Source organism: Homo sapiens, chromosome 15 (genome assembly GCF_000001405.40).
Source record: "Homo sapiens chromosome 15, GRCh38.p14 Primary Assembly".
NCBI classification, from domain to species: domain Eukaryota; kingdom Metazoa; phylum Chordata; class Mammalia; order Primates; family Hominidae; genus Homo; species Homo sapiens.
Window position 1 is genome coordinate 62,042,271 of NC_000015.10, and position 23,149 is coordinate 62,065,419.

The 23,149-nt window shown below is 38.8% G+C and overlaps 1 protein-coding gene and 1 long non-coding RNA gene across 10 annotated transcripts in view, besides 2 other annotated features; one reads left to right on the plus strand and one right to left on the minus strand.

Moving 5' to 3' along the window:
- VPS13C (vacuolar protein sorting 13 homolog C) overlaps positions 1 to 18,177 on the minus strand; it is a 208,059-nt gene extending 189,882 nt beyond the window's left edge. For all 9 annotated transcript variants that reach the window (XR_007064464.1, NM_017684.5, NM_020821.3 and 6 more), the window contains exons 1-2: positions 18,005 to 18,177; positions 1,942 to 1,985 (exon numbers count right to left, since the gene is read on the minus strand). Coding sequence is in view for 8 of the 9 variants with exons in the window: in NM_017684.5 (NP_060154.3) it covers positions 1,942 to 1,985; positions 18,005 to 18,104 (144 nt within the window). In the remaining variant the exon portion in view is untranslated. The remainder of the gene's footprint in view (positions 1 to 1,941; positions 1,986 to 18,004) is intronic.
- Positions 18,039 to 18,388: a silencer, noted in NCBI's record as "silent region_6502". NCBI's record gives its function as "represses an Ori minimal core promoter by ATAC-STARR-seq in GM12878 lymphoblastoid cells {active_cell/tissue: GM12878}" and the evidence as "EXISTENCE:reporter gene assay evidence [ECO:0000049][PMID:35858748]".
- VPS13C-DT (VPS13C divergent transcript) lies at positions 18,233 to 20,164 on the plus strand. Its single transcript, NR_135690.1, has 2 exons — positions 18,233 to 18,573; positions 18,698 to 20,164. It is a non-coding gene; the product is annotated as a VPS13C divergent transcript (long non-coding RNA).
- Positions 18,439 to 18,488: an enhancer, noted in NCBI's record as "active region_9520". NCBI's record gives its function as "activates an Ori minimal core promoter by ATAC-STARR-seq in GM12878 lymphoblastoid cells {active_cell/tissue: GM12878}" and the evidence as "EXISTENCE:reporter gene assay evidence [ECO:0000049][PMID:35858748]".

The following is a 23,149-nucleotide window of genomic DNA, read 5'->3' on the forward strand; positions in this document are numbered from 1 at the left end:
AATACTAAACAACTGATATCCATAATGATAACCTGAGTTTTAGAATTATTAAAAATTAAACCAGTCAGTACAGCCTTTCCGTTAGGTTTGACTTACTATATAATAACACTATAAAAATCTGACCACCAAAATGTAGGTAATAATTAACTAAAATAATCAATTTACCTAATCATCTGATTACGTCTGAATGCTACGTAAACAGGAATTGAACAGAATGCTATTATAATAGCTTTAGTTAAAAAGTCTTTTTTAGACCAAAAAAAAAAAGTCTTTGCTGCCAATAAGAGCAGCTCTGTCCTCCTGGAGGACAGGAAAGATAAATTCAAGGGAATTCGCATTATACAGTATACAAACTGCAAACTACAAAAAGGTGGTCTCATGCTCATTTTAATCCTCCTGAAATAATTTTCACACAAAATAAATGTAAATAACCCATATAAAAGTAAAAATTCATCAATTTGGTTTAACTGGGGAAAGGAGCTACTTTGAATAAAAAATATAAATTACAGGGGGAAGGGATAGCATTAGGAGATATACCTAATGTAAATGACAAGTCAAAGGGTGCAGCACACCAACATGGCACATGTATACATAGGTAACAAACCTGCACATTGGGCACATGTACCCTAGAACTTAAAGTATAATAAAAAATATATATATATAAAAATTACAAAATAGTTTATTATATTTAATTATAACCAAAACTTGAATTAGGCTGAAACAGAGTTCAAATAATTTGTCTCCTTAGTATGTTAGATATATATCCTGTCACTACAATTCTATTTATATTGTCATAAATAGAGAAAAAAACCTCTTTTCCAATCTATAACAACAGAATCAGGTCTACATTTTTGTTTAAAATTTAAAAAGTTGTAGCTTCCTATATAAAAAAGAGAAAAATATTTAAATTTTTGAGCACCTACTAAGTGCCAGGCTCTACTTCTCATCTTATTCAAGCCACAAAGACACAGAGATATTATATTGTTTTATAATTAACTTCACTTTATAGATGATTAAACTCATGCTAAAAGATCAAAGAAATTAAGAAGTTAGGCTGGGCGCAGTGGCTCCATGCCTGTAATCCCAACACTTTGGGAGGCCAAGGCAGGCAGACCACCTGAGGTCAGGAGTTGCAGACCAGCCTGGCCAACATGGCAAAACCCAACCTCTACTAAAAATACAAAAATTACCCAGGCGTGGTGGCACACACCTGTAATCCCAGCTACTAGGGAGGCTGAGGCAGAAGAATTGCTTGAACCTGGGAGGCGGAAGTTGCAGTGAGCCAAGATCATGCCACTGCACTCCAGCCTAGGCAACAGAGTGAGACTGTATCTCAAAAAGAAATAAAAATAAAAATAAAAGGTTGGAAGCCGGAAAAAAATTAATTAAACAATAAACTCATTAAGTGACTTCATAAACTCACATTTAGCCCAACAAGCTAAACAGAAACCTAATTGGGGGATGGAGGGCATTGTTTTGTTTGTTTTCAACTCAACAATAAATGACACAAATTACTTTCTGGAGCTAAAGTCCAGAAAATCCTATTTTACCTCTTAATATTACTATAATAAGGCTAGACCATCAATCTATTTCCAAAATTAGATATGTTATTTAAAATCAAGCCCTCATTTATCTCAAAAATACGTAAAGACACTAGTGAAGGAAAATATTGCTATAAGGAAAAAGTCAACTACAAAACTATACAGTCAAATTAGATCAACGAAAAACACTCCGTTTCCAAGAGATACTATTTTGATTATTAGGGGAAAAAATTTCTAAATCTTTAATCTCAGATTTTCCAACAGCAAATAGTTGAACAAGTAATCCCTTGAGTGATTCCATCACTTTATCTAGTACATGGTATCAGATGCCTAGTAGGCAAAGGTTTCTAAGAACTTACCAAATTAAGTGAGTTATTAGCATAGTTTAAAAAAAACTTACCAGGGCATTTTCTTTTATCTGTAGATTATCTAAAGCCACATTTCCTTTAAAAAAAGAAAACAAAGAAAAATATTACTATAACATACCAATTTTTAAACCTATCACAATGTAGTACCAAGCACTAAGAAACTGGGCTAAGTGCTAAGAATACAATGATAAACAAAGGTGACTTAAGAGGCTACCCGGCACAAAATAGTTGCTACATATGCTCAAGAGTTATTAATTGTAGCATACTATAGGTTAATCCAGTGTAAAAGAAGTTATAACACATTAAACTAGCTAACATTTAAACAAACAATGGGAAAGAAGTTGGAGCTTTTTGGACAGAAGAACTTTAAGACCAAAGAAAGTAGCCATCATTTTGAATGATTAAGCCAAAATCTCAAGATATAAAGAGATGATTACAAGGTCAGATCAATCATCCTGGGTTCTTTAATTACGTTATCAATTAACATTTTCTTCAGAAACATGGTGTTAGTCTTTCATGTCTCCAAACATTCTACCTTCCCAATGATTACTGTATGTGCTTCTAATATTCTTTAATCAGTCCAACTTTTATTATATTCATATGCTAAGTTATAAAAATACTATTACATGACTCAAATCTTAAACACTATCCCTGTATTTGTTGATACACAATAGTCAAATATTCATGCTGACATAAAAATGTAAGGAAAAAGTTTTCATTTCACTTAAATTATGTTAAGGCTAATAAAACTATAGTTTCAACATTAAATGCAGGCGTAAATTACTGTAATATATTTTCTTAATCATTTATGACACATATATTTTTTAAAAACTATAGTAGCTATACTTCCCATTAATATTTTTCAATCAAGTAACTTTTTCTTCCAGGTATTTTTGAGTGAATTTAAAAGTATATTTAATTTGTTTACATCATTTTAGAGATCTGCTTTTCCCAGATCTCAAAATTATTAAACATTTATTAAGCACCCATTATATGTTAGGTGCTGGAAAGAGAAAGATTACTAGAACAATATTCATTAAGGCACTCACGGCTTAGCAGAGGGGACTGTGCAAAAGTAACTGCAGTTTTTGCCATTACTTTTAATGGCAAAAATGCAACTACTTTTGCACCAACCTAATAATTTTCTAAAATTTTAGAAATATTCCAATAGAAGCGTACACAAGATGAAAAGGAGGAGTCACCTAATTGCCTAGGGAAATCAAGAACACACATAGGTTTAGGCTGGAAGGTTTAAGTAGTATTTACTGGGTGGATAAGAAAAGAGGGCAAATAGATAAGTGTGAGTAAGGCACATTTTAGAAAGCACATATGGTTTGGTGTAACTGGAGGGTATAAGAAAAGGAAACAAAATAAGGTCAGAAAGGTAGGCAAGGGCCAGACTAATGAAGAGCTTTCAGGATAAAAAATTCCAGACCCACCAAAACAAAGAGATAAAATATATATAACAGAGATTATGTTATTTTAGAATCATTACTCAACTGTCCTAAGGAATAACTATTGATCTGTCCAAACAATTTAGCTACAAGGATATTGCAGTATTGGGAGGGAAAGAAGGAAGGACAGAAGAGGGGAGGAAAGGAAGGAAAGGAGGACCTAAAGATCTAAATGTCCAGGAAGAAGGCATAACTCACAATACATCTGTATTATAAACAAAAAAAAGTAGAAAGACATGGGAAAATGTTCACAGAATATTGAGTTTTTTAAAAAGTAAAAGAATGCCCAGATTGACCTAAATTTAAAAGTATCTATATATGCACAAGTGTGTGTGCATTCCACACATACATAGAAAAAAATAAAAAACTGTAAGATGCCATAATGCTCACAGTGGTTATTTCTATGTAATAAAGTTCATTTTCTGTGTACATACAGTTCTCAAATTTTCTAAAATAAATTGTCGAAAACTATAATAAAGGAAGAAAAGGAGGAAAGAAACTTCACAAATGGTAAGGAAATACTATAGTATATAGTAGGAGGGAAATGAAAGAATACAGGCAGTCAGGAAACTTCTACAACACACTGAAAAGTAAAACCGAAAATAAGGCAGTAACTTCAGGGTGAAAGACGTAGAGTCATAGTAAAGAGTTATTTTGGAGGCAGAATTGACAGGATATCATCACTGTCCAGATGCAGGAGTAATAAAGTAGTCATGGAAGACTAGCATGTTCAGCAACAGGGGGAAAAAAGTCCTTACGTATTATATATGCACTAAAATTACATAAAGACAAATATTCCTAGATTCAAATCTGTCACATGATGAATTACACAAAATTACAATTGGGAAGTCTATTCTAGCCTACAGGGTAATCTGCACAGATGCTAGTGCCTATCTGAAGCCATCCAAACTAGTTTAATAAGATCTAAGGCCCACATGCAGACTTTCAACCCTGCTCATAAATTGTGACTGTTCTACCTAGTCATTCCCAATTGGTGGGCCAAGAGTTACCAGGAGTGATCAGAAATCATCTGCGTTAGAGATGAAGTCTTTATAACAATTGTTAAGGCACTACCATAATGTTTGTAAAAATATAAATATACTTATAAAAAGTGGGCTGTTTCTCCTGCAGTGACACTTTACTTGTTTGATCAAGTAGTAGGATAGCAGGTGGTAGTTAAGATGTGAAATGTTGAAAACTACCAATATGGCTAATAGAGTTAGACAAGTATATTTAGACAGACTGTCAGACAAAAAGAGATTGTACTTATTATTGCTGGGTGGTAGAATTAAAGATAGCTTTTTTATTGATGTTTTTCAGTATTTTCTAGTTTTTATAATAATTAGATTTTTTTATGTGAAATTATTACGGAAATTATAAGAAGGAAAATGGGGAAATAAAACAAAAGTAAATTCACATGTCAATACGATTTAAATATTTTTTATATAAATTTTTTCTATATCTAGTATTACTTTACCCCCAGACACGTAAGAATAACAAAGAAATATTGGCCGGTGTGCAGTGGCTCACACCTGTAATCCCAGCACTTTGAGAGGCCAAGGCAGGTGGATCACAAGTTCAGGAGTTTGCAACCAGCCTGGCCAACATGGTGAAACCCCATCTCTACTAAAAAAAAAATCAAAAATTAGCCGGGCATGGGCATGGTGGCATGAGCCTGTAATCCCAACTACTCAGGAGGCTGAGTGAGGCAGGAGAACTGCTTGAACCTGGGAGGCAGAGGTTGCGGTGAGCTGAGATTGTGCCACTGCACTCCAGCCTGGGTGACAGCAAGACTCCATCTCAAAAAAAAAAACAAAAAAAGCAGTATCTATTTCTGCCACCCAGTCTGACAAATGCATACTTCCTCTTTGAAAATGTGAATGTTATCTAACAAACAGTAACTGTAACAGTGAAATAAGAATAATACATTCTCCAAGTTATTTGCACTGAAGGAGGAGCTCTAGTTCTAATACAAAGAATAGGGGAGGAATAAGCAGTATAATTCAGATTAACACTGGCACCAGTGTAAAGAGGTAAAAGTGCATTCATTCATTCAAGCAGTAGCTGAGTACTTATCTTGGTAAGGCACTGGACTAACAAGTACTCTCCACTAAACTGCATGCTATTCTGACTGATAAATATGCAGCAGTGTCATTACATATCCTATGAATTCCAGAAATCCTGTTTAAAGAAAAAGAATTTATAAGACCAAGATTAAACCAGATCTCCCCTAAAAATCAACCATTTTATATTTAACTGAATACCGATAAAAAAGATTTCATTTTCCTTTTCTACCTTAAAACAACATAATAATTCTATACAATGTAAATAACTTTAGTGCTATAGCCAGATCACCAGGGCTAAGAACACATAGAAGTCATAGAAAGTTCTCAAAAAAACTGAAGGAAGGGTAAATATTTGTTTTTGGTTTTTTGGTTTTTTTTTTTTTCATTTGTTCTCATTTTCTTTTTTTATTTTATTATTATTATACTTTAAGTTTTAGGGTACATGTGCACAATGTGCAGGTTTGTTACATATGTATACATGTGCCATGTTGGTGTGCTGCACCCATTAACTCGTCATTTAGCATTAGATATATCTCCTAATGCTATCCCTCCCCCCACCCCCCCCAACAGGCCCCTGTGTGTGATGATGTTCCCCTTCCTGTGTCCATGTGTTCTCATTGTTCAGTTCCCACCTATGAGTGAGAACATGTGGTGTTTGGTTTTTTGTCCTTGCGATAGTTTACTGAGAATGATGGTTTCCAGTTTCATCCATGTCCCTACAAAGGACATGAACTCATCCTTTTTTACGGCTGCATAGTATTCCATGGTGTATATGTGCCACATTTTCTTAATCCAGTCTATCGTTGTTGGACACTTGGGTTGGTTCCAAGTCTTTGCTATTGTGAATAGTGCCGCAATAAACATATGTGAGCATGTGTCTTTATAGCAGCATGATTTATAATCCTTTGGGTATATACCCAGTAATGGGATGGCTGGGTCAAATGGTATTTCTAGTTCTAGATCCCTGAGGAATCGCCACACTGTCTTCCACAATGGTTGAACTAGTTTACAGTCCCACCAACAGTGTAAAAGTGTTCCTATTTCTCCACATCCTCTCCAGCACCTGTTGTTTCCTGACTTTTTAATGATCGCCATTCTAACTGGTGTGAGATGGTATCTCGTTGTGGTTTTGATTTGCATTTCTCTGATGGCCAGTGATGATGAGCATTTTTTCATGTGTCTTTGGCTGCATAAATGTCTTCTTTTGAGAAGTGTCTGTTCATATCCTTTGCCCACTTTTTGATGGGGTTGTTTGTTTTTTTCTTGTAAATTTGTTTGAGTTCATTGTAGATTCTGGATATTAGCCCTTTGTCAGATGAGTAGGTTGCGAAAATTTTCTCCCATTTTGTAGGTTGCCTGTTCACTCTGATGGTAGTTTCTTTTGCTGTGCAGAAGCTCTTTAGTTTAATTAGATCCCATTTGTCTATTTTGGCTTTTGTTGCCATTGCTTTTGGTGTTTTAGACATGAAGTCCTTGCCCATGCCTATGTCCTGAATGGTATTGCCTAGGTTTTCTTCTAGGGTTTTTATGGTTTTAGGTCTAACATGTAAGTCTTTAGTCCATCTTGAATTAATTTTTGTATAAGGTGTAAGGAAGGGATCCAGTTTCAGCTTTCTACATATGGCTAGCCAGTTTTCCCAGCACCATTTATTACATAGGGAATCCTTTCCCCATTGCTTGTTTTTCTCAGGTTTGTCAAATATCAGATGGTTGTAGATATGCGGCATTATTTCTGAGGGCTCTGTTCTGTTCCATTATCTATATCTCTGTTTTGGTACCAGTACCATGCTGTTTTGGTTACTGTAGCCTTGCAATATAGTTTGAAGTCAGGTAGCGTGATGTCTCCGGCTTTGTTCTTTTGGCTTAGGATTGACTTGGCAACATGGGCTCTTTTTTGGTTCCATATGAACTTTAAAGTAGTTTTTCCAATTCTGTGAAGAAAGTCATTGGTAGCTTGATGGGGATGGCATTGAAACTATAAATTACCTTGGGCAGTATGGCCATTTTCACAATATTGATTCTTCCTACCCATGAGCATGGAATGTTCTTCCATTTGTTTGTATCCTCTTTTATTTCATTGAGCAGTGGTTTGTAGTTCTCCTTGAAGAGGTCCTTCACATCCCTTGTAAGTTGGATTCCTAGGTATTTTATTCTCTTTGAAGCAATTATGAATGGGAGTTCACTCATGATTTGGCTCTCTGTTTGTCTGTTATTGGTATATAAGAATGCTTGTGATTTTTGCACATTGATTTTGTATCCTGAGACTTTGCTGAAGTTGCTTACCAGCTTAAGGAAATTTTGGGCTGAGACGATGGGGTTTTCTAGATATACAATCATGTCATCTGCAAACAGGGACAATTTTACTTCCTCTTTTCCTAACTGAATGCCCTTTATTTCCTTCTCCTGCCTAATTGCCCTGGCCAGAACTTCCAACACTCTATGTGTCTAATCCTTTAAAACAAAAAACAAACAGGGATATGTTAACTAATAATTGGAGATGAATAAACTTAACTCTGCCAGCAAGGAAAGCTCTAAAGCCAATCCCACAATCAAGTGGCTCTAATCCTACCAAGTCTAAACAGACTAAGGTGACAGATAAGGAAATTCTGTGAAGCGATCTCCCTTATGCTGGACTGACAGGCCCATGGGAGGAGGGTAGACAATATACACAGTAAGTAGTCTGTGCTTCAGAAGAGACCCCATATGATTCTCATTAATAAACTACATATATTTTGGATGTGCATACACTGCTAGAAAGTCACCATAGTTTCAAAGCCAATCTTGAAAGATATTTTAAGAAATATACTAAAAGGGCCAGGTGCAGTGAGTGGCTCATGCCTGTAATCCCAACACTTTGGGAGACCAAGGCGATTGGATCACTTGAGCCCAGCAGTTGGAGACCAGCCTTGCCAACATGGCGAAACCCTGTCTCTACCTAAAAAATACAAAAAAATTAGCCAGGCATGGTGGCAGGTGCCTGTCATCTCAGATACTCAGGATTCTGAGGCAGAAGAATCACTCGAACCAGAAGGGCAGAGGTTGCAGTGAGCCAGGATCATGCCACTGCACTCCAGCCTCAGTGACAGCCAGAGCAAGACCCAGTCTCAAAAAAAAAAAAAAAAAAAAGTAAATCCTGGATCAAAACTGGATCAAAATTTAGTATTCTTCAACAGTGAACCAGAAGATGAAAATGGAAGTAAATTAGCAAATGACATGAAGAGTTGGAGTCATCGCAAAAAAAAAAAAGTAGAAATAGTTGCTAGTTATAGAAAACAACCAAGCTAGTGTATTTATGAATAAAAATCAAATGGTACTAGCACAATAAGGAAAAGCCTGCCTAAGTCCAAGAATGGCTTTTTAAATACATAATGGCCTACAAAATAAATGTAAGAAATATAGTCCTATTGTTAAGTACCTCCAACCAGAAATAATCTCTCTAAACTTTTGCAGAAATTTAGGCTATAGCTTTCTTATGGTGCGTAACACTTAACTTTATATAAATCCCCAGTCTGATTATAAACTTCTTACTGATTCTCCTCAGAGTAGGTACTCGATAAATACTGACTTCAGAATGCATATTGTACTGGGGTGGAACCAACTACAATAAGGTCATAAATCTTTATATTTTAGAAAACACTTTCAGATGTATAACATTACTCAATCCTCACAGCCTCCTGGGCAAGAAACAGGTTGTATACATTAAGCAATAGAAGCTGAGGCTTAGAGAGGTTAAATGACTAGCCCAAGAATCCTATGGCAACCTAATAGTAAGTGGCAGTCTCAAGGCTCAAATCTTATAAAACTCAATGCTATCTTCAGAATAACACTGTTCTCCCGAATAGCAGAGCATAAAGCGTATAGGATTTTAATTCAGAAGGTAATTCGACCTCCCTGGACAACAAAAATGCCATAAAAGAATCAGACTCAGCATTCACAGGCCAGCGTGGTTGTCGGTTCCACTTTTGGTCTCTGTATTTGCAAAGAGACGTAAAAAAATCCAAAACAAAAAGGATAACTAAAATTAGTATAACAAGGGCACAGGCAGAACGGTAGGATAGAGTCAAGGGGGTTATGTTCAGAGCATAACCAGAAGAAAACGTAGTGCCACAGGGAAAAACAGATGCAGGAGATGGTATTACAAAATGGTCATTTTAGTACTTTTTAAAAATCTATTTTTTTCCTCAAAAGACAGAAATTCACAAGTTATGATTTAGAACTATTTGGGACCATAAAGATTTTCAAATCTAAGCCCCTCTCACTTTATACATGAAGAAATTAAAGTCTAAAGAGATCTGGTAGTTTATCCAAGGTTATACAATTTTTTTGTGGCAGTACTAAGAATAGAATCTATGTCTCCCAACTCCTAGGTCAACTTTCTTAATATAAAACATAGAGGTTAATCCAAAACTGTGATTAAACACAAAAACCATCCAACAAACAAAAATGCCATGCCATAATCCATGAAACTAGCTTTGCATATAAAGAATAGTGAAATAAAGAATGCTTTGTATTTATTTTTTAAGATTTTGTTTATGTATCTATAACATAAACATTATTTAGTTGAAAGCATATCTGAATGTTCTGACACAATTCATTTTCCAGGGAGGTGAGCTAAAGTAGATGACTGAACAGTTTTTTAAAGCAAAGCATGAATCAAATTATTTTAATGATTTATGTTTTAGTAAAGAATACCAGGCCTGGTGCGGTGACTCACGCCTGTAATCCCAGCACTTTGGAAGGCTGAGGCAGGTGGATCACAAGGTCAGGAGATCAAGACCATCCTGATACGGTGAAACCCCGTCTCTACTAAAAAATACAAAAAAATTAGCCAGGCGTGGTGGCGGGTGCCTGTAGTCCTAGCTACTGTGGAGGCTGAGGCAGGAGAATGGCGTGAACCCAGGAGGCAGAGCTTGCAGTGAGCCGAGATTGTGCCACTGCACTCCAGCCTGGGCGACAAAGCAAGACTCCGTCTCAAAAAAAAAAAAAAAAAAAAAAGAATACCAAAGAAAATATTATAGCTATTCATTTCAAATGAATCTAGCTAGTCAACCCAAATTAACCAATCTAGACTCCTTTTAATGAGTTCACAGTGACTTTGTCTTCAGAGAGGAAGACAGGAAAGAGAAAGGAAACAACTCTCTCACTCTTCCCATTTCCCTACTGAAACAGGAAGTTTTGACAAAGGAAGGTAGAAAGCTGCAACATCACCACTGAACTTTCTCCCTTTCAGTTCACTTCAGGGATCCCATAATATTGAGTAATGTGGTAGAGCTTCCTAGCAGAATGGTTACCAAAATACCAATTCTCAGTTTTAGTTCTAGAAAAGGAGTTAATTTTTAATTAGTAATGCTACTTAAATATGTGAACAGGTGCTTAAATTTAAATTTTTAAGCACCGCTTTAACTGGTAGTAACTGAGCCTAAATATGTATTACACTAATGACCTTTTCATTATTGTTTACTTTTATATGCCATAGGACAAGCTAATGAGAAATGTGGCCTCCACTACACCAAGTGCTGGCTGGGAGGAAAAGACTAAAGAAAATCCCTCTACAGGTTTAGAAATACCTAGATACTGACATCTTTTATGTGTCAAAGCCAAAAAAAGCAAAAAGAGCTGCTTTTTCTTTCATTCTCAAGCTGCCCTACAGGTACCTGTTAAGACAATATATTACAGTATATTACACTTGGACCCACAAATATCAGCATGAGCCTGGAACTTCATTTATCTTGTCACTGTCATTGACTGTGGCTCTTTACTCACCAATATCGGGTGAAGAGCAAAAAGGAAAGATAAAGATACATTATTTAACTACCTTTTCTCTCTATGAATGCGGAGGAAGTGGCAGTACCACTCATCCAATGAAGGATCTCACGTTGTTCTTGCCTTGCTCAAATCACAGAAGTTTAAAGACAGAAGAGATGACCTTGTCTAACCTTTCCACTTACAGATAAGCAACCAATGGTCACTTGTCAGAGACATGCCAAAAGCCACACAACTAGACAGAATCAGAGATGGAATAAGATTAAAGAGGTTTGCTCATTCCCAGTCCAGTGTTCATTCTCCTTTCTTATGCTGCACTGCTCCAACAATATCTGGCAGCTCAAGGGGAAGTGTCAAGAGTGGGATAAACTGTCAGGAGTGGGATAAACAGCACGGGTTCAGTCTGGTTTGCAGGGCCACAGATTCTGAGGGCATTGCACTTGGCTTCTATTCCTGGTCACCAGAGTCACCCTTGTATCTAACACATCACAGTTCCTATGTTGATTCCACCTGTCCAGTGGAATTAAGAACAACAGAGTTCCGAGTACTGGAGGATTTTCCTGCTGACTCTCCACAGTAAATCATTTTGAAAAATCAAATTGACAAAGGTTCTACATTGCAACAATACTACTCAAATCATATTGCAAAAGATGAGGCATTTCAACATACCTTTTCAAATATATGTTACTCTTAAAACAATTATATCCTGGACACATCTCAATAGCTAAGGGCTGTGAAATTTATCTATTGGTACCAGTTTGTGGGGAACAAAAATCTAGATAAACCTTCCTACTTATGTAGGCAGTATGTACCCACCAGGCACTTTTCTGAACCTCTGAAAGCCTGACTTACAAACTAGCTGGCAGGTAATACTGTAAAAGCATAAGCATAAATTCAAAGGCAAATAGAGGTTTTTTTTAAAAGAAATTTGTTTGGAAAATAAGAAATGTTTAGATATGTAATGATAGCTCTACACAAAATTATCACTCAATAGAAGATTGATACCTCTAAGAAAACCAAACAACACATGTTCTCATTCATAAGTGGGATTTGAACAATGACAACACATGGACACAGGGAAGGGAACATCACACACCAGGGCCTGTCAGGAGGTGGGAGGCAAGGGGAGGGAGAGTATTAGGACAAATACATAATGCAGGGCTTAAAACCTAGATGACAGGTTGATAGGTGCAGCAAACCACCATGGCACATGTATACCTATGTAACAAACCTGCACATTCTGCACATGTATCCCAGAACTTAAAGTAGAAGTAAAAAAAAAAAAGAAGAGGAAGAAGAAGAAGAATATTAATACCTCTAAAAGTCTGAAGTTAGAAGAAACATCCTTATGAAAATAAAACAAAGACTGTTTTCCATCACCCAGCCAGGTTTGTTAATCATTATTATTATCAATATTATCAACAATGACAAAGGTTTTTGACATAATCTATCTCAACAATACACTGAAAGTTGTATATCCACTTTACAGATTACGAGAGTGAGAACTGAAATGTTTTGCCCAGGGTCCCACAGCTAATAAATAACCAAGGTCTCAATTATCTACAGTGGCAAGGATTTTTAAAAGGAAATTCTGCTTAAACTACTTTTAAAAATACATAAGAATTGCTTGGCATTAAATAAAATCTTTAAAGAACAGAAACAGAAAGACAATGGTAGGCTGTGTTTGCTTTGCTTCTCAAATTTAAAGGCAACATCTAAAGTATACTTCCTGATTCTGGACATTCCAGTAATTTTCCCCAACCTTCTCAACCTTTTTTTTTTGAGACGGGAGTCTCGCTCTGTCACCTAGGCTGGAGTGCAGCGGTGCAATCTCTGCTCACTGCAACCTCTGCCGCCCAGGTTCACACCATTCTCCTGCCTCAGCCTCCAGAGTAACTGGGACTACAGGCGCCTGCCCCCATGCCCGGCTAATTTTTTGTATTTTTTTTTTTTTTTTTTTAGTGGAGACGGGGTTTCACTGTGTTAGCCAGGATGGTCTCGATCTCCTGACCTCGTGATCTGCCTGCCTCGGCCTCCCAAAGTGCTGGGATTACAGGTGTGAGCCACGGTGCCTGGCCTCTCAACCTTTTTTAATTGTAAATTTCATTATGAACGCCTATATATACATATATGAATATATGCACACTATGATGTTTTCCAAATCATGTTAACACAATATTTCGATCTTAAAACTACTTCCAAAGATCATCCAAGCAAAGATTACGCATTTTTATTGACATGATACCTTTCAGTCACTTAAGATATCAATTTCTCTCTCGAATTACAGATTTCGTTAAGAGTAATCTACTTCTTCCGTGTCCTTTTTAAAACCTTACAATTTTTTCAGCACCCAGTAGGTCCCTTACAAATGCAGAAGACAATCTCAGTCTTCTTCTTAGACTAGGGTTTCTCAACTAACATTTTGAGCTGGACAATTCGCTGCAGGAAGTTGTCCTCTGCATTGTAGAATGTTTAGCAGTACTCCAGGGTCTATCTGCTACATGCCAATAGCACACCTCTTCCCTCAGTGTGGCAACCAAAAAGTCTCAGACACTGTCAAATATACCCTGGGTACAAAGTCACCTCCCACTGAAAATCACTGCTTTAGGCTAGTTAGACATTCCAGTTAAGATGTATCAAAGTAGTTTATCAATTGATTCCAAAGAATAGTAAGATCAGGTATGTGAGGTGGGCGGCAAGCCACCCAGGCGCCAAGGCAAGAGACCAAGGACACGAGCTGTTCCAGTATAATAAAATATAAAACAAGAATAGTTATACCATATAGATCTTAGAGATATATGAATATCATTAATCATTAGTTTGCAGTAATTACTCTTTATCCCAATATTATAATAATCCTCGCTGTACAATCATAACCTAGGAAAAACCAGGCCATACAGAGATAGGAGCTGAGGGGACATAGTGAGGTGTGACCAGAAGACAAGAGTGCGAGCCTTCTGTTATGCCCGGACAGGGCCAGCAGAAGGGCTCCTTGGTCTAGCGGTAACGCCAGCATCTAGGAAGACGCCCGTTGCCGAGCGGAAGGTGGTCTAGCGGTAGCGAAAAGTGTCAAGGAAAAACACCCGCGACTTAGCAGACCAGGGAAGGGAGGCTCCCTTTCCCCGGGGGAGTTTAGATAAGACTCTGCTCCTCCACCTCTTGTGGAGGGCCTGACATCAGTCAGGCTTGCCCGCAGTTATCCGGAGGCCTAACCGTCTCCCTGTGATGCTGTGCTTCAGTGGTCACGCTCCTAGTCCGCCTTCATGTTCCATCCTGTACACCTGGCTCTGCCTTCTAGATAGCAGTAGTCAATTAGTGAAAGTAGTAAAAGTCTCTGATATGCAGAAATAACGGCATAAGCTATCTTTCTCTCTGTCTCCTCTCTCTCTCTGCCTCGGCTGCCAGGCAGGGAAGGGCCCCCTGTCCTGTGGACACGTGACCCACGTGACCTTACCTATCATTGGAGATGACCCACACTCTTTACCCTGCCCCTTTTGCTTTGTATCCAATAAATAACAGCGCAGCCAGACATTCGGGGCCACTACCGGTCTCCGCGCATTGGTGGTAGCGGTCCCCCGGGCCCAGCTGTCTTTTCTTTTATCTCTTTGTCTTGTGTCTTTATTTCTACACTCTCTCGTCGCCGCACACAGGGAGAGACCCACCGACCCTGTGGGGCTGGTCCCTACAGTGAAATATTTACAAGATGAATTCTTCCCTTTCTCAAGACTTGAAAATTCAACAACAACAACAAAAAAAAAACTCTGTGAACTGTAAACCTTATCTGCTAAAGCAAATAGTTGTCAAAGAAGATTATATAGAATTTTCAATTTTTTGTAAAACTTGTCAACATCATGGTTATCATAAAATGTCACCTATTTTATTAAATTAATATTCCCATTTGTTTACCCAAAAAAGTTTAAGACAAATTTCTTTAGCAATATTTTGAAAGAACAGGAAAAATCAACTCAGATATCTTGCCTTCCAATTTTATTGAGAAATTAGGGTTATCAACAACAGACTGTGCAATAATGATAAAAGCTCGTGACTTCTAGCTTTATAGCAACCACAAAAATAAAAGGCAGCAAAGCTTTACAGAGGCAGAGTTGTGAGCTGATAAAGCTAGGAGAATCCCTGATTGGATGTTCACTAGACACAATATGTGAAAGAAATGGGTTTATTTGCTCAGGCCTATTATAAAGTTAATGTTGGCCACTGGCAGAATACCTTATTCTAAAAATTTAAAAATGAGATGAAAGAAAGTCTCCTTTTCTAGATTTCACCAAAAAAAGACAAAAGGGGAAATAACATAAAATTACGACATTTTTAATTTCAGTTGTGAAAAACTTCAAAATCTTCAAGCAGTATACTCCTCAATGTCATGGTAAAACCATTATCAGAAGAACAGAATATTGGCATCACCTTCGATGTTACCTAGTCCAACCTCCAATTTTAAAGATAAAAGAGAGTAACATTTGATGGCAATGGAACCTCTGACTATATCCATACGTTTTATCTTTTTAAAAAGAAAATGTCTAAAGTAAATATGGCATAATATTATAACATTGAAATATGAGTAATTACATGAAAGTATTATATCATCCAGTATGATTTAAACTTTTCAGAATTTAAAAATATTTTTTCTATAAAGTTTAAATTAAGATGAAGAAACTAAGGCCCAATAAGGTAAGTGGCTTGTCCAACACAGCACACCATTCACTAGGCCTATTCAGATTTCAGATTTGCTACTCCGGTGCGTTTTCAAGTTTCAAATGTTTACAAACTATAAGGAATCACTGGAAAGAATATTGCCAGTATTCTGAAGAAATACTTGATTTCTGCAGAAGATGCTGGTCATTTAATTCCTTAAATGTGTCTTTCTTTACTTACCTTTCCTTTACATTGTATTGAGTGTGGTGGGGGGATGTAAACAAAGAATGTACAGTAGGCCCTCCATATTCACGGACTGAACTAACTGCAGACCAAAAATATTTCGGGGGGAAAAAATAAAAAGTATCAATTCAGCAATAAAAAAATGCAAATTAAAAAACAACAGAACAACTATTTACATAGCACTTACTTATTGGGTATTATAAGCAATCCAGAGATGACCAAAAGTATACAGAAGGATATGCATAGGGTACATACAAATACTAGGCCATTTTATTTAAGGGACTTGAGCAACCTCCAATTTTGGTATGGTCAGGGGTACTGAAGCCAATCCCCCATAGATACCAAGGGACTATTGTATTGTTGGGCAAACCACAGTGAACCAATCAAATGATCAGCCACCTATTAAAAACAGGCTCTTGCCAGGCACTATAGCTCACACCTGTAATCCTAGCACTTTGGGAGGCTGAGGCAGGAGGATCACTTCAGCCCAGGAGTTGGAGGCTGCAATGAGCTACGATCTTGCCACTGCACTCCAGCCTTGGCAACAGAGCAAGTCCTTGTCTCAAAAAGACAAGCCAAAAAAAAAAAACAACAACAACAACAACCAGGCTCTTCCGTAATTCAGGGTATAAACAGCATTGCCCAATATATGTTCCATATACGTAATTATAAATTTTAGAAGCCAAGTTTAAAAAGAAAAAAAGTAAAACTAAAAAACACGGGAAATACACTTTAATATTATATTTAATTTAACCCAATATATTCAAATATTATTTCAACACATAAGCAACATAAAAATTATTGAGGTATTATTTTTTTCTCCTACTTCATTAGGAGTAATGCTTATTCAAAACGATGTTTTAATTCATACAGCAAGTCTCAATTAGCACTAACCTCATATCAAGTGCTCCACAGCTACAGTGGCTAGTGGTTACCCTAGTGGACAGGGGAAGTCTATAGCTATTTGTTGTTGCTTGAATTAAAAGCAGATCCATACATTTGAGTCGTTTTTTGAATTTTCCTCCAAAGCTGACAAAGTTCCCAAACCTTTTGTGGAGTGAGAAAGTCCCAAAGTCCTCAAAGCTTAACACGTAATTCATGCAAACGATTAAGCTCGTTGAAGAGTGTATGTTTAAGTACACTATTTCCTGAATACTTTTATACACTTAATCTCCAGGATAAAAACGTTGGCATAAATTCCTGAGCATGCAACCAAGCAGACACCTAATTAATGACGATGCTGGTCGAGGCTTGAATTTCTCTCTATTGCTCCAAAACAAAATTCAAAATCCTCTTCGTATTGACGGAAAAGTAAATATTAAAGGAAGAAATCATTTTCACAGGAGCTGAAAGCATTAAGAGTAAGAATCCCTAAGCACACGCCTATCTTAAAGATCTCCTGCCCGTTCCTCTCCAAACCCGGTAATCCTAAAGAGAAGGAACCCAGTTCTTGCTCCCTGTAAAATGATAGTGAAGATAACTGCGAGATGCAACTTCCTCCTTTTTTCTTAGTGCCACTTCGAGCGTATATGACCAGACAACCATGCTCACTCCACGCGATACCGAAACAGAAAGGGCTCTGTTTTTATGCTGTAGGGCCAAAGGGGCCACCCTGAGTGCAGCGAGAGGACCACAGAAACGGGCAGGGCGGGGACAGCAGGGCCAGGGCTTGGCCTCGGGGGACGAGAAAGGTGGGAACTTTGGCAGCGCGGGCGGGATCCCGCCGCATCTCCCCAGCCGGAGTCGGGACTGGGACCCCGAGAATCCGCGGGCGGCAGAGGCTCCCGCATCTAGCACCTGCCGCACCGGGATGGGGAGTCTCAGGCGGCGCAGGGAGCAGGGCCCGGGCAGAATCCCGGACGGAGCAGCCCTCGGCTGGGCCCTCAGCGCCCGCAGCCCACTGGCCGCGCCCTCTCGCTTACCGCCCCAGATGCCCAGCTTCAGCTGGGACTTGTTCAGGTTCTCCACATAGTCCCCCAGGAAGCGGTTCAGCAAGTCCGCGACCACCGACTCCAGCACCATGGTGGCGCTGAGGCACAAGGAGAGGGAGGAGCCGGAACCGCCCGGCGCAGCTGAGGGCTGCGACCAGCGCTGCAAATGACAGCCCCTCCGGCGCAGGCCCACCCCCGCGCCGCGCGCGTGACCCCGCCGGTGCGCAGGCGCGCTGTCGCCCGGCCGGTAGCTAAGGAGGCCCAGCTGTGATCCCGAGGCTTTGTAGGCGCCGCAGCCCTGGCCCTCTAGAGGCCGACGGAGGAGTGCGGGGGAAGTTAGCTTGCGCCTGTCTCGTCAGCCGTGCACGAGAAAAAAAAGGACCTTCGAGAAGAACAAGGGAGGGCAAGAGTTACCGAGTACAGGGACATCTATGTGGCCGCTCTGCTTTCCCGCCGTCACCTGCTGTTGAACTCCGGCCGCATCGCGGTGTCCGGAGCCGCCTGGCCTGGAGTATGCGCTGAGCGTCACCTAGGCAACCACCCCTGCACCTGTGGATCAGGTGGGGGAAAGGGACCGACCGCGTTCTTGTCCTGCTAGAGTTCGACTCCGCCTGGGGCTTGGTCTCTGCTTCTTGAAAACATTGTTTTTTTATTTTGTTTCTGTTTTGTTTTGTTTTGAGACAGGGTCTCGCTCTGTTGCCAAGGGTAGAATGCAGTGTCGGGATCATAGCTCACTACAGACTTGACATCCTGGACTCAAGAGATCCTCCTGTGTCAGCCTCCCGAGTAGCTGGGACCACTGGCGCGCGACAAATAATTTGAAAGTGGGAGGAGGGGAACAGAACCACATCAAATGGCAGATATCATAGAATGAGAACTGAATATACGCGTTTTGTGGGAAACGCGTTCTTTTCCCCTTTCTCTAAGATTCGCTTTTAATTCACTAGCCACTAACCAGTTACCTATCTCATTACAGATATAAAAAACAAAACGTAGTAGTGCCTTTTTAAGTATGAGTTACTTGTTATTTATATATCACTTTCTTCCATGCTATCGTTGAACTGTCTTTGATGTAGCACGACCTTAAAAGCAGAGCTTTTATACCACAAGATCTTTCAACCCTTGTGAAATTTAACCACCCATTGAGATTCACCTCTTTAGAGAACTAGAAATTTTTTCCTAAAATATATTTCAAAAAGTTGTTGAGATACAGTACACAGGAAGAAACCTAAGAAATGCTGATTATTTGTAGTCACAAGCATTAATAAGTGCTTTGCTACGAGGAAGTGTCTGAGAAACTATTCGTGTATTTTTCTTAAACAACCTAGGCTTGCACAGGATCACAAAGAAAAATCTTAAATTCAAAGTCCGCTGGAGAAGAAAGAAAATCAAAATGGCTACAATTGGTGTTGTGTATTAAATAAAATTAAAAGTACAAAGAAAGACCCAGTCAGTACTAACTAGTACTATCAAGATCACATTCCTCTCCCACTTTTGCACACTCCATTCCTCTTTAAGAAGATAAATCCTTAACCGTCTGTTTTTCCTAGCTGGTCACAAAGACAAAATACTAGTAAGTACTTTGGATTTCTTCACCATCCACAACCAAATAACAGCCTAACCTGTCTATTTTGCTTTTGCCATCTTTCCTAAATTCTCCATGTTTTTCTTCTGGACCATGCCATCCATCTCCTTGAAATTCACTTCCTAGCCTCCAGTTATTCCTTCCTCCAGTCTATTCTCATGAACACCGGATGTGTTTTCCCAAAGCACAGGTGAGCTTAGGTTAGTCACCTGCTCAAAAACATCCAATAACTTCCCAGTGTTTAGAACACTCTCTTCAAACTTTCTCCACGTTCTTTCTAGTCATACACTCTAACAATCCCGCTTCCTTTTTACATTCACACTGACTATGCTCCAAGAGGAATGTAAAGAAGCAATATATGTTCTGGTTGAGATAAGGCATGTACCATAAAAAGTTAAGAAAGAAGCCAATCCAAGGATGTATGAATAACAGTATAAGATGATAGGAAAGATGGCACAGGCAACATAGCTTGGTCAAGCAGGTGGAGCAATAGGCACAATCTCTTGGGAGAAGTGAGTAACACTAATGCTTTGTCTAATAAAGTAATTCCTTACAGTTCTATGGTATAACTTGGTAATTTTGAAAGAATAATGTGTAAATGTGCTTTCATATGCATCATTCAATTTTATTATGTTTCAGTTATACTTTGTAAGGCCTCATGTCATTATTATGCGAAGGTAGGCATTTTTGTGTACTCCTCACAAAAGAGCTGTGAGGTAGCTAATGCAGGTAGTAGTATGGTCCTCATTTTACAGAAAAATTAAGCTCGGGAATGTTAAGTGACTTACCCAAAGTCACACAGCAGATATTAATTTCCTTTGATTCTCTGAGCACTGCCACCCTTTTCTCTTCTGGTAATTATACAATTTAATCAACACTGGGCTATTAGTCATTTTCAGAGATCTTACTTTGAAAGGTTCATGACAGAAAAAATAAATCTCAGAGTGGAAAATTTGGCTCTACATTTTTGGTACAAAAAAATGCTATTATCATGTAGTATAAAAAGCTTTAAATTTTACTATTTTCCATTTTCAGCATGTTTTAAGGGATTGATTATGTGCATTCAGTAATGCCCCAAATCTTCCATTATTTAACAAGTCAGAAATATACAGTCCCAATTTAAAACAAACTATAACCAATGTCAAGAAACACCATTAGCACCCTTATGTATGGCATTATATCAGAAATAATTTGGATAACAGAGGTTAAAGAAAATGAGCATTCTAATTAATTATAGTTCTTGCCTTCATTCTGGCTTAAGAACAATGAGAATGACAACAAAGGAAATTACAAAACTAAACTTCAATGAGGGACTAAACAATAAAAACAGATGAGCAAAGTATTTCTGTTAAAAACAAAAGTATAAGTTAGGGACACTTAAAAATTAACTCAAAAGTGTTTAAAAAAAAAAAAAAAACTTCACACTAACCACCACCCATACCCTATTCCCCAACCCTAGAGTTTTTGGAGAAAAGCAGAAGGAATTTGGGGGAAAGGAAATGGAGGAGAAAGCTGGAGTATAAGCCATGACACCATGGACTGCAGGAAAAGTTAGGGAGGTTAACTAGGAGAAAGCACGGGAGTGGATTTCAGAATGTTAGTGCCAGAGGGAGGATCATCCTGTTAATCCAGCCCCCTCAATTGACAGATGGAGACACTGAGTGCCAGGGAGAATTAAGGGTTTGCCCAAAGTCCCACAAGTTAGTGACTGTCAGAGCAAAAACCCAAACCCAAGTGTCCTGACTCCCTGCTCTGTATTCTTTCCAGTACCCCATACTCTAGTTGTGTTGAACAAGATGCATAAGTCAGAACACTGGTGTTTTATTGGTTGTAATCTCTCTTCTTGCTTTCCTTGACACTCAACCTCCTATATTTTTGTAAGTATGCTTTAAAATGTTTAATTTCCTTTTACTCTTAGAGCACCTCTGGTCTTGATGGTATGTGGTCTATTCATGCTCACTTTACAGAATTGTTTTCCAGCTCCAATACTGGATGTTCCCACAGCTACAGCTGGGAGCTTGGAACAGCCACTGTCTTCCTGTGAGTAGATTTGTGTGTTCCGGGCACCCTGTTACACCATTCTCCCAAGTACTGGGTGGTTGGTTCGTGCTTCCGAGTTAAGTAAAACATAAGGCTTAACAGGGTCACAGGGACCAGCCACGCAATGGCAAATCTCTGCTATTTTCAAAAAATCATGTACAGGAAATGCTATTAAGGTGTTACTAAAGAAGGTGAATCATTAATAAAAACAAAGTAGATCTGCTTTGCTTGCCTGAGGAGAAAAATGTTTTTAAAGGAATCCATGTATGAATCAGCTAATCCCTGCCCAAGCAAACATTCATAATAAAATGATAGTAATAATAATAACTGTTAGCTAGTGTTTAACTGCCAACCAAGCATTTTCATGCATATCTTTTTAACCCCCACAACAATCTTAATGTGGTCGGTATTATTACCCTCATTTTATAACTTGAGCTCAGACAGGTTCATTAACTTGCTTAACAACTTTTCAGCCAACTTCTCAGACTGTAAACTCTGATCTGTGCTCCTAATCACTTTAACCAAGAGCTCTCAACAGGGCTAACAACATTCTTGTCTCCCAGGAAAAGCTGAGTCAGAACACATGCACATGGCCCTCAAGTATATAATTTGATAAAACTTTTCCCATAGATTTAGCCCTGGCCCAAGAATTTTGGCAAAGAGTAGAGGTGATTTCAAGACAAAGAAGTAGGCTGGGCTTAGTGGCTCGCACCTGTAATCCCAACACTTTGGGAAGCCGAGGCTGGGGGATCTCTTGAGCCCAGGAGTTTGAGACCAGCCTGGGCAACATGGCAAAATCCCATGTCTATAAAAAATATAAAAATTAGCCAGGTAGTGGTGCATGCCTGTAGTCCCAGCTACTCAGGAGGGGGACATGGGAAAATCACCTGAGCCTGAGAAGTTGAGGTTGAAGTGCCCTTGATTGCACCACTGCACTCCAGCCTGGGCATCAGAGTGAGCCCCTGTCTCAAAAAAAAAAAAAAAAAATAGCTATTCAAGGACACAGTAAATCCAGAGACCCACCAATCCTGCCCCCTACTAGAAACATATAAGTAATGTTCAGGCCAGGTACAGTGGCTCACACCTATAGTCCTAGCACTTTGGGAGGCTGAGGTGGGCGGATCACTTTGAGCCCAGGAGTTCAAGACCAGCCTGGTCAACATGTTGAAACTCCATCTCTCCAAAAAAAAAAAAAAGTTAGTCGGGCCTGGTGGCTCATGCCTGTAGTCTCAGCTACTTGGGAGGCTGAGGTTGGAGGATTGCTTGAGCCTAGAAAGCAGAGGTTGCAGTGAGCCAAGATTGTACCACTGCACTCCAGCCTGGGCAAGAGAGTAAGACCCTGTCTTAAAAATAAATAACTAAATAAATAATGTTCGGTAGTCTCTTCTCACGCCTGCCTCACCCAGATGGAATTCAAATAGTTTATCCTCATCATTTTACTCCATCATTTATGGATTTACATAGCTGATATGATCTTGTACAGCCAACCTGTATCCACTTGCCTAACATGA